The 12383-nt window shown below is 38.2% G+C and overlaps 1 protein-coding gene across 27 annotated transcripts in view; it reads left to right on the top strand.

Moving 5' to 3' along the window:
* The window catches only part of WDFY3 (WD repeat and FYVE domain containing 3), a 297094-nt gene that overhangs the window by 251154 nt on the left and 33557 nt on the right, over positions 1-12383 (top strand). For all 27 annotated transcript variants that reach the window (XM_011531759.3, XM_047449858.1, XM_011531763.4 and 24 more), the window contains 6 exons: positions 154-239; positions 2298-2378; positions 6190-6244; positions 6509-6628; positions 10026-10143; positions 11093-11199. In XM_011531759.3, the coding sequence (XP_011530061.1) occupies positions 154-239; positions 2298-2378; positions 6190-6244; positions 6509-6628; positions 10026-10143; positions 11093-11199 (567 nt within the window). The remainder of the gene's footprint in view (positions 1-153; positions 240-2297; positions 2379-6189; positions 6245-6508; positions 6629-10025; positions 10144-11092; positions 11200-12383) is intronic.

Raw genomic sequence — 12383 nt, 5'->3', positions numbered from 1 at the left:
TCCCAAAGTGCTGGGATTACAGGCATGAGCCACCGCGCCCGGCCGCAGATTAACTTCTTGAACATTGTAGAAATTTATAGTGGAAAAGTTAATATATAATTTTATTTGTGAACTTCTGTTTTTTCTTAATGTTTTTCTCTCTGATCATTTCAGCCTATTGCTGTGGAAGTTTTCTCTGGAGATGGACGGAATTACCTCCTTGCTTTTCAGAAAGGAATCAGAAACAAAGTCTATCAAAGGTCTTGTTTATTCGGAACACTTTGTATACTATTATGGGAAGATATGGGAGGGGGAATCTTTTCTCAGTTTTGCTGGTTTTTAAAAATCTAGATCAATGAGCCAACATCTTTGAAGAAAATAATTTATATTATTTTTGCCACCCTCTTGAAACAATTATTCTTCTGACTTTTAAAATGGTGCAATTCTATTGTGACATACCATTTTTCCTTCTGGTAACTTATAGTAGAGATCATCAAAAACTACTTTTATCACTAAGTCCTGTGTCTCTAAATACAAAGGATGATGAAACTGTAGCTTTAAAAATAAAACTTTAGTTTCTTTTTTTCTTCTTCTTTTTTTTTTTTTTTGAGACGGAGTCTCGTTCTGTCGCCCAGGCTAGAGTACAGTGGCATGATCTCAGCTCACTGCAAACTCCGCCTCCCGGGTTCACGCCATTCTCCTGCCTCAGCCTCCCGAGTAGCTGGAACTGCAGGCACCCGCCACCATCCCCGGCTTATTTTTTGTATTTTTAGTACAGATGGAGTTTCACCGTGTTAGCCAGGATGGTCTCGATCTCTTGACCTTGTGATCTGCCCACCTCGGCCTCCCAAAGTGCTAGGATTACAGGCGTGAGCCACCCACCGTGCCCGGCCAAAAATAAAACTTTAGTTTCAAAATAAGCTTTCTTTGTATTTACCAAAATGAAGCCAATGCAGTTTCTTGCTATTGAATGCAAGGACTGAGTAAATTTAATTCATGTGGGACTTTTCTCTGGCCATGGAAGGGATGTTGGATACCTTCATCCTTGAAAAAGTAGTATAGCTAAATAAAGCAGTTAATCTAATCTAAGCATATTTTTATCTTTAATAAACTATATTTAAAATTTACCTTTTAAGTGAAAAACAGGCCAAGCCGTGCAATGGCTCACGCTCATATTCTTAGCACTTTGTGAGGCCAAGGAGGGAGGATCACTTTGGTCTAGGAGTTAAAGACCAGCCTGGGGAACATAGTGAGACCCTGTCTCTATAAAAAAGAAAATAATTAGCCGGGCATGGTGGCACATGCCTGTAATGGCAGGTTGAGGTGGGAGGATTGCTTAAGCCCAGGAGGTCAAGGTTGTAGTAAGCCACGATCACACCACTGCACTCTAGCCTGAGTGAGCAAGGCACTGTTTCAAAAAATAATAATGATTTTTTTTTTTTTTAGACAAAGTCTTGCTCTGTCACCAGGCTGGAGTGCAGTGGCGCAATCTCGGCTCACTGCAACTTCCACCTCCCAGGTTCAAGCAATTTTCCTGCCTCAGCCTCCCAATTAGCTGGGATATCAAGGTGCACCACCACACCCAGCTAATTTTTGTATTTTTAGTAGAGATGGAGTTTCACCATGTTGGCCAGGATGGTCTCGATCTCCTGACCTCATGATCTGCCCGCCTCGGCCTCCCAAAGTGTTGAGATTACAGGCGTGAGCCACCACACACAGCCTATAAATTTTTTAAAAAAGGAAAAACAACACACATCTCTGGTACTTAAAAGATAATTCTTTTGAATGTGTGAATAATAAGGCTATTCTGAACTAACCATGTAGATGAGAGGCATTCTCTTGTTCTTTGAAGGGTGATACAGATCCTGGCAATCCCTCCATTATAGAAAATTTTATATTTCAGATTATTTCCATGAGGAATAACTAAACCATCCAACATTGCTTCTCATTGCAGTACAGTAATATTACCCGTGAGCACCTGGGAAATGAGGGTGGTTCTTCAAATAAAGGGCCTGTGGATGTTGATTGGTAACCCAAAACTCCTTTCACATATGGGAAGAGCTAAGTAAAGTGATTGAGATTCACTTTTACTTATCTGATTTTTTTAATTTCTAAAGGTGCTATTGTTTTCAGTGCTAAGAAATTATTTCCTCTTTAGAGAAGTCCAAAATTTATATATTCCTTTTGCCTGCCATTTAGTGGGTTATGGGAGGGTAGACGCAACTATGAAAATCTAAACGAATCGTCCTTTCTTAGGCTTCCCATTAGATCCTGACTGAGACTTCACTTGTAATTTTACGCTATTTTAAATTTTTCAGGTTTTTGGCTGTAGTGCCATCTCTAACGGACAGTTCAGAATCTGTATCTGGGCAACGACCAAACACGAGTGTGGAGCAGGGGTAGGTGGTTTGTTCCTTGCATGTTACAGTTTAATAGTGAAGTTGGGATGATTCATATCTGGACAGTATTATTTAACATTTTAGATGAGTGTTTTTCCCCTGGTGGTTGCAAATTTTTTTAAAAAAATACTGAAAACTAAAGGAAGAAAAGAAAAAGGTATGCATAAGCACTGTGTCAAATCACTGCTCACATTTTGATCAATTACCTTCTGTTCTTTAAAGCATGAGTATTGCTGTGTGCATGATTGAGTTTATACTCTAAATACAAGTTTTTATTCTGCTTCTTCTATTCAGTGTTATATTTAAATATTCCCTCTCATCTTTAAAAAACTATTCAGAAACATAACTATTATTCGCTATCTATTCATCACATATATAAAACATCATGTAATTTTTGGATATTTCATCTTTATCAGGTTTTTGCTTTTTTTTAATTATTGTTAAGAGATGGAGTCTCGCTCTGTCACCCAGGCTGGAGTGTAATGGCACGTCTTGGCTCACTGCAACCTCCTGGGTTCATGGCGATTCTCCTGCCTCAGCCTCCCGAGTAGCTGGGATAATAGGTGCCTGCCACCACACCTGGCTAATTTTTGTATTTTTAGTAGAGACAGGGTTTTGCCACGTTGGTCAGGCTGGTCTCAAACTACTGATCTCAGGTGATCTGTCCACCTCGGCCTCCCAAAGTGCTGGGATTACAGGCGTGAGCCACTGTGCCTGGCATTTATCAGGTTTTCTTATCATAAGACTGGAAATGTGATTCTTCTTTTTTTTTTTTTTTTTTTTTTAATTTTTTTCTTTTGAGACAGTTTCCTTCTGTCACCCAGGCTGGAGTGCAATGGTGTGATCTTGGCTCACTGCAACCTCTGCCTCCTGGGCTCAAGCGATTCTCAGCATCAGGCTGAGCACTTCCCAGCCTGAGGCTGATTCAAGCCTCAGTCTCCCAAGTAGCTGGGATTACAAGCATGTGCTACCATGCCTGTCTAATTGTTGTATTTTTAGTAGAGAAGGGGTTTCTCCATGTTGGCGTGGGTGGTCTCAAACTCCTGGCCTCAAGTGATCCACCCATCTTGGCCCCTCAAAGCGCTGGGATTGCAGGCATGAGTCACCATGCCCGGCTATGATTCTTCATTATTTTATTGTGGTAGAGTCCCCTTAATAAAACAAAGAGTAGGAATTTTAAGGCTCTTGATACACAAAACCAGCTTGATATTCATAAAAACTATACAAGTTTATATTGTACTATTAGTGGATAAGTTTGTCTCAATAGATACTTGCTAACTTTGTATATTATTATTATTTTTTTTTTTTGAGACGGAGTCTTGCTCTGTTGCCCAGGCTGGAGTGCAGTGGCACCATCTCAGTTCACTGCAGCCTCCGCGTCCCAGGTTCAAACGATTCTTCTGCCTCAGCCTCCCGAGTAGCTGGGACTACAGGTGCGCGCCACCACACCTGGCTAATTTTTGTATTTTTAGTAGTGATGGGGTTTCACCATATTGGCCAGGCTGCTCTCAAACTCCCGACCTCGCGATCCGCCCTCCTCGGCCTCCCAAAGTGCTGGAATTACAGGCATGAGCCCCTGCGCCTGGCCTGTATATTAATTTTTTTATTTTATTGATTTTATAAAATGTTTTCTGATTTTTAATGTATATTTCTTTGATTATTAGTAAGCATGAGCTCTGTATATGTTTATTAACCATTTAAAATCATTTTTGTAAATTGTCCGTATCTTTTGCCTATTTTTCCTTTGAGATCTTATCAATTTGTATAGGATTTTTCTACCATAAGGTATTACTCCTTTGCTTGTCATATTTGTTGCAGATTTCCCAGTTTTCCTCTAAATTTTGCTTTTTGACATTTACATTTAAACTTCTGTTTTTATGTATTCTGACCTATCAGTGATTCCTTTATGCTCCTTATAGCTGTGCTTCATCTTAGCGAGGCCTTCTAGGTAACACAGCCATTTCAAGAATCTGTAGACCCAGTTCCATTTATATCACTCAGTAACTAGTAGCCCTTTATAATCGACTGGAAAGAAGCAGTGCTTTGGGGCTGTAAATTAATTATTAGAACATGCAAGAAAATGACTTTTACAAGTTCTAGAGATTCTGTAATTTGTAAATAAATTTGATTCCAGTCTGTGTGCATCTAAATACTTTGTGTATTTCTCTTTAAGTTTTGTTTTTATTTTTCTATAGCCAAGCCTTAACAAATACAATGCTAAATATATGCTTTTTTTAACCCCAGAAACATGTTCTGCTCCTAATCATATGTGTTGTTGTTAACATAAATACAGGAAGTGAAAGATTTCCTTAAAAACATAATGAGCCTTTTTTCTACTTGTAAGCGAATTGCTACTGCTTCCTAGATAATCTTAAACTTGCTATTTCTTTGTTCTTGCTACTGCCTGTGCTGAGTTGGCAGTTCTTAAAGAACTTTAAAGAGCTCAGAGGCAAGAAACAGAAATTCATTTCCAACTTTAATCTTCCATTTCAGTTATCCTCTTTCTTACGATGTTGAAGAGTGATCATGGCTATTTTTCCAAAGAGAGTATCTTGTACATTCAATTTGCCTGATGGAAAGACTATCTCAAAGTGGAAAATAGTACCATCGAGCTGGATGTGTTTAGGATCTAAGGTTTACAAATGTATTAATTTCCTCTCAGAAAAGAAAATATATAAATACTTTCTCCTGGTTCCATGACCAATTATTAATTATCAATATTATAAAGCTGATAAACCTTAAATAGGATTTTATAACATTTTAAGGAAGTCTGCTGTCCCCAAAAAAGTAATGTTTAAATTTTAAATGACCTGGACAGCAATGACTTTCCTGTTATACAATATTCATATTTTCTTTCACTTATTTAATGCATTATGTACCTACTATGTACAGAATATTATATAATATTTCAGTTATTCTAATTAAGTATGCTTGGATCTGTTTACTTAGTGATTATAGTAAAAATTAGAAAGTTAGACTATGGTTAGAATATGGCTCATGCCTGAAGTCCTAATAATTTGGGAGGCTGAGTTAGGAGGATCATTTGAGGCCAGGATCTTGAGACCAACCTGGGCAACATACCAAGACCCCATCTCTACAAAAAATAAATTATAAAATGGTTTTAAAAAGAAAAAGAAGGCCAAGCACTGTGGCTTATGCCTGTAATCCTAGCACTTTGGGAGGCCGAGGTGGGAGGATCACCTGAGGTCAGGAGGTCGAGACCTGGCCAACATGGTAAACCATGCCTCTACTAAAAATACAAAAATTAGCTGGGCGTGGTGGCGAGTGCATGTAATCCCAGCTACCCAGGAGGCTGAGGCCAGAGAATCACTAGAACCCAGGAGGTAGAGGCTGCAGTGAGCTGAGACCATGCCACTGCAATCCAGCCTGGGTGACAGATCGAGACTCCGTCTCAAAACAGAACAAAACAAAACAAACAGAAAGTTGAACTAGATCAGTGTTCTTCCAACTCTTTTGAATATGACCTAGAGTAAAAAATATATATTACATTCATCCCAAGGCACATAAATGGAGTTATAAATACTCAACTCAAACAAAATTCACAAAACAATACTTTTTCTTACTATATGTGATGCCTTCTGATGTCCTCTGTTTTCTTCAGTTCAGTTCTATGTTACTTCATATTTCAAAATGCTGATCACAACCCACTAAACTGATTTTATGACCCACTAATAGATCCTCCATAGTTTGAAAAATTCCTGGACCAGGTGACTTAAATTTTTCAACTTTATAATTTTTCAGATTTAAAATTTTATTGCTTGTAATTTATTGTATTATGTATTGCTTTTAGATCTGGGTTACTTAGCACTTTGGTTGGAGAGAAGTCTGTGACTCAGAGATGGGAGGTAAGTTTAATGAATATATGAGCTTCCTTAGAAGTTCGTAATTAGAGTAGAAGTCATACAGTTAAAAGCACTTTAATTATCCATAAAATATATACCATAGAGAAAATGTTTTATTTTCATTCTTTTTAGAAAAAAAAGTATTTCATTGTTCTGAAATCTGTTAAAAAGAAACTGTCCTTTACATCATTTTGTATATAAAATTTTAAAAGCTGAACATAGTGGAAATAATCGATAGCTCAAAAATGAATATTTATCTTTTTCCAGAGAGGTGAAATCAGCAACTTCCAATATTTGATGCATTTGAACACTTTGGCTGGCAGATCATATAATGATCTCATGCAGTATCCTGTCTTCCCCTGGATCCTTGCAGATTATGACTCAGAGGTAAATCTTAAGTCATTTTGCTTACGTAGAACACATTTTCAAAAATAATTTTAAAATACGACAATTGAAGTGGGGTGCAGTGGCTCATCCCTAAAATCCTAGCACTTTGGGAGGCTAAGAGAGGCGAATCACTTGAGCCCAGGATTTTGAGACCAGCCAGAGAAACAGGGCGAAACCCTGTCTCCACTAAAATTACAGAAATTAGCCAGGTGTGGTGCCAGACCCCAGATGTCCCAGCTACTCAGGAGGCTGAGGTGGGAGGATTACTTTAGCCCAGGAGGTGGAGGCTCCAGTGAGCCAAGATTGCACCACTGCATTCCAGACTGGGTGACCAACCAAGCAAGACTCTGTCTCCACAAAGAAAAAAAAAAAAAACTACGGTTGCCTAAATGTTTTATTTGGTTTGTAGTTTAATGTTCTCAATAGGCAAAGGCACTTAATTCAAATAGATGAGAAGCATTTAGCACAGACATATAAAAAGTTTGGATAATTGACCCACTTACTGAGTACTGGCTATTAATTCATAATATCTCTTCAGTTTCTTTAAGTGCGGATTAATTTGCATCTATTGGTGGATGTCAGAATCCATCTGTGTAGTTTGAAGTGTTTGTTAGGAAAACACAAAGTAACTCTTCTACAAAATGTTCCTGCCATATAAAAGAAATTTTTTATACTATTCCAAGAAGGCTTGGTAGAAGATTTCCAACAATTCAACATGTACATGACTTAAGTCTCAAAATCAAGAACACATAGATGCATATGAATATTTTGATTCCCCTCTTCCTTTGCCTCCTGTCTGATAGACATCTGATTAGTTCAGAAATGAACCATAACAGGCAAAACAAAAGACACTTAGCCCTAGGTAAACAAACAAAAAGATTGTTTTTAAAATTCAGAAATTCAGTGAACGTTCTTATTCACTAGAATCATGACTGCTTATCCTTTCAGAAATTTTAGACATCAACATATTAAGGGGAAAGATAAAACTATCCTCAGAAAATTTTGGTCTAATGAAAGAATGAAAGGAAATCCACCCTATATGCATGGGTGTACGTTAGTTCATTTGATGTGTGAATCTATATATTTGCTTGTATAGTTAATTTGCATACCTAATGCACAATAAATAAATAATAAAAGGAAAAGAAGAGCTCAGGAGTAAAGATTGATAAATGAAAATATTTTTTCTTTAAGTCAATCAAGGAAAGTTAGAAAGAAAATGTAGATTTTTTAAAGAGACAGGAAGTCCAAAAGAAATGTGGTTTTCTGAGAAGGGAGTGGAGTACTTTGTCAACTCATATTTGAATATGTATCTCATAGGAACATGGCAGGTCCCATTACTGAACCTTCAGTTCTCTACCACATTCTCCCGATGCAATTCTGACCTTCACCGTGTATTCCCCATCTCAGGAAATGGCACCATCATCCATGCTGTCTTACAGGCTGGAAATTATACTTTTCCTACTGTCCATGTCTGCTCAGTGGCCAAGGCATGTCTACCTTTGTCTCCATCAGTGTACCCAGTGTCTCATTTCAGGCCCTCCTCATCTTTATTGGACCATTGCAGCAGTCTCCTAACTGGGCTTAATGCTCTAGTCTCTCCTTCCTTCAGTGTGCCCTCTACACTGCAGCCAGTTTCAGGAACACTAATTGAGTCATCCCCCTGTTTAAAATCATTCAGTGACCAGGTGCTGTGGCTCACACCTGTAACCCCAGAACTTTGGGAGGCCGAGGAGGGCAAATCGCATGAGTCCAGGAGTTCAAGACCAGCCTGGTCAACATGGCAAACCCCATCTCTACAAAAAATTAGCCAGGCATGGTGGCATGCATCTGTAGTCCCAGCCACTCAGGAGGCTGAAATGGGAGGATCACTTGAGCTGGTGAGGTGGAGATTGCTGTGAGCTGAGAGTGTGCCACTGCACTCCAGCCTGGGCGACAGAGCAAGAAGCTGTCTCAAAAAAAAAAAAAAAAAAGAAGTAAAAATAAATAATAAAATTATTCAGTGAATCACCATCATAATTTGGGAGAGAGTTGAAAAACCTCACTATAGCAACCTTTTCAGTGCAGCTCCTGTGTATATATTCCTCATATACTCCCAGAACTGCTATCGTGGGGCACCCCAGTTCCCTCTCTTGTAATTTAGTGGCTTTTCACATACAGCCTGACCTGCCTGGTGCCCATCGTGCATTTCTTCTCTCCACCAACTAACTCAACTGACCAGCTCCACTTCATCCTTCAGGAGGCACTCAAGTACCAGCCCGGTGATGGGGACCCTTCTGTTCTTTTTCTCCTCTGCCTTCTATTCCCACACTGCCCTATAGCTGTATAACATGGTACCTATGTTGGGTTTTTTTTTTTTTTTTCACCATTTTAATCAGGGAGCTTTCTTTTACAGCATTGTCCTGCTATTTGTTTGACCCTACTCAATCGTAGGGTCAAGGTCCTTGAGCACATAGTCCATTTTATGTCTCTCTCAACTCTCAGCCCATAGGATGACACCTGGTACTTTGTACATACTTTAACATTTGTTGAATTAACCAGAAAATATAAACAAGGTACTTTACATATAAACTTTGAGATAACAAATATGCTAACTTGACTTACATTCATAAATGTAGATCAGTTTCTCCTGCCCAAGATTTTTAAAAATAAAAGTTTGGCAAAATTAGTTATTCAGGATGTCCTATAAAAAGGACACAAATATGCCACAGGCACATATTTCAAATTTCCACTTTTAAAATCCTCAGGGAGTAAATTTTAGTTTCCTTTTAAATATATGAATTAGGTCAACTCATCAACTTTTAAAGTGATCTCTGGTAAACTAGAAGAATCCATCTCATTGGGAAGTTACTTGATCTGGTGTGATGTTATCTTTTAGAGGTGAAAGAATTACTGAGTGTTCTAGTTTTTATCACTTCCAGATCACCTCTGAGAAGAAAATGCTCAGAAGTAACGTTGGAGGGAGACAGGGCGGGGGTGGAGGGAGGGAGGACACAAGGGAGATCTGATCCTCCAGTTATGTGAGTGATGAAGTTAACGATGAATTGGAGCTATTGTGTCCACAGTCTCCTGCTGGGTCCTTGTCAAGACTTGGAAGTATTTTCCCTCTTAATCCTCATCCCCTAAACCTGGATCCTGAGTGGCTTCCTCTGTGAAACATATAATTTCCAAAGCACTTGTCTTCCAACTGAATCTGTTAACCAACTCCCATGTGCCTGTCTGTAAAGTGTGTATAAACAGTACATATATAGCATTATTTTGGAGTCCAGTTATACCAGTTTGACCCCACAGATACTAGTGCGTTTATAAATCATCATCATCCACAACAGCCACTGTATCTACGTTAGTGAGGCTAGATAGTGTATAGTAACTTGGAATTGAGTTACATTTTGTATTTTAGGAGGTGGATCTTACTAATCCCAAGACGTTTAGAAACCTGGCTAAGCCAATGGGAGCACAAACAGATGAACGATTAGCTCAGTATAAGAAGCGGTATAAAGACTGGGAGGATCCTAATGGTAAGGAACTTTTTCTGTCATTGGACTTTGTACCCAAGTTTCAAAAGTAAGTCATTATGTAGCGGTCTGACATTCCTACATCCTCCTTCAAATTGCTTATATATCATATCTATATGTATTATATGTCCACACATATATGCAGATTATTATAGCAGAGGAATCAGGTTTGCATGCCAACTTATGGCCATGCTTAGAAGGCATTTTAAATAGCTTATCAGAGTATTGGTGGAAAACTAAGTATTCCTGCTTTGCATAGGGCAGAAATTTCCCATCATAATCTGCCTCTGTCTCTAATCATGTTTAGTCCAGGAACCATACTTTAATTTATTGTCTCTCTTTAATTTTATTGAGGCAATTTTGGAACCCTTTTGCATTTAAAAAAAATTACTATACTCTAAAACCTTATAGTTTACTTGTTATTTATTATGTTTAATGTTTATGGTGTTTCTCCCTCAAAAAGGCAAAACAAAGGAGAAAGAAAGCCTAAGCTTGTAGTCCTATGTGAACTCTTTTTTCCCACCCCCTCTCTGCCAAGGAGAATATGTAGTAAAAATACATAAAAGTGCTTAACATTCATAAACAATGATTTAGAGAAATATATAATTGCAAAGCCAGAACCTAATAAAAACTATAAGTCAATATCCTGCTTTAGTGGAAGATGGTCTACTATTAAGGGTTAACTATTATAGTAAGCCTCAAAACATGAAATTGGTAGACATACTAAGTTTGTGGGAATAGGCCATTGAATTATACTTAATCTGGACTACTGTCAAATATAGAAGAGAGGGGTAGTGGTGTCCTGAAGTTTTCCTGCTGCAAATGCCAGTACTAATTGCATTTAGTGTTACAGTTATCACATAGGCTAGCATTTTCAAGCATAAATTAATACCAATTTTATTTTTCATATTTCTTCTTTTGGTTTCAATTGTGCTTTAATTTTCTTAAACAGGAGAAACTCCTGCATACCACTATGGGACCCACTATTCATCTGCAATGATTGTGGCCTCATACCTTGTAAGGATGGAGCCTTTCACACAGATATTCTTAAGGCTACAGGTAAAACTTTAAATTTGGGGTTTTTCTATTTTATACAAGCCTACTTCTATCTAAAATGTCACCTTTTAAAACATCATTATCTTCTATTATAAGAAGCTCTGCGAAATTTTAGTGACAAAGTAGTTACATAACTAAAGTAGAATTTTGTTGGACCAAAATTGATTAATGAACTAGAATTCGCTTAGAACAAATAAGTGCCAGCATCCTTTAATCAAATACATAAGTAGCATACATTTTTCAACCAGCCCTAACTGGTTGAATTAAACAATTTTTATTTTACAAAAACATGATATATTCCAGCTCATTCTCTGTTTCCTCGATTATAATTGCTTTTCTGTACATTCTCATTCATTTATTCAGCAAATATTTAATAAATACCTACTGTGTGCCAGGCACTGTTCCAGGTACTTGGGAGGACTTCAATTAATAAAGAGAAAAGCCTTACCTGTGCAGTTTATGTAATTCAGTTGAAGGAGACAGCCAGAAATCAAAAATAAGAAAATTGTAAGGTGTTTCAGAATGTGATAAAAGCTATCAGAAAGATATAGGTCCAGAAAGGGGGATGGGAAGTGGGGAGAACAGGAGGTTGGGCAAGGTGGGATGCAGTTTTAAGTAGAGTGGTCAGAGTAGGTCTCCTGTGAAAAAAAGTCTAAAGGAGGTAAGGGTGTTGCTTCTGCAGACATCTGGAGATACGTGTTCCAGGCAGAGGGAAGAGCTTGTGCAAGGGCTCTAAGGCAGGCTTGTACCTGGCATGTTCGAGGAGCAGCCCGGGGGCCAGTGTGTCCAGAATAGAGTAAGTAAGGAGGAAAGTTAGTTGTAGGGGAAGAGTTCGACAAGGAAACAGGCTAGATTGTATGGCAGACATTGGCAGCCATGGCATGGACTTTGGCATTTTCCCACAGTGAGCATCGTAAGACAGGTACACCATGTTAACTTAAAACACAGCAGCATAGGGGGCTTGACTGAAGAAGATGGATAGTGTACCTGTGAGGCTGCGTAGTGAAAAATATCCCTTTTCTATTTTAATTTGCTTCATCGGTCTGTAACTGATCACCTTTTCTAATTCTCCATTTAATTTTCATTAGTATGAGAACTTGCATATCATGTTAATTTATAAAATTAGCCAAACATAATTTGAATGTTTCCAACTGTAGATGATTTACATTAGAATCTTTTCTTGTGAT

This window comes from Homo sapiens, chromosome 4, assembly GCF_000001405.40.
Source record: "Homo sapiens chromosome 4, GRCh38.p14 Primary Assembly".
Classification (NCBI taxonomy): Eukaryota; Metazoa; Chordata; class Mammalia; order Primates; family Hominidae; genus Homo; species Homo sapiens.
Note: the sequence above shows the minus strand (reverse complement) of the source record. Positions and strands in the feature narration are given on the sequence as shown.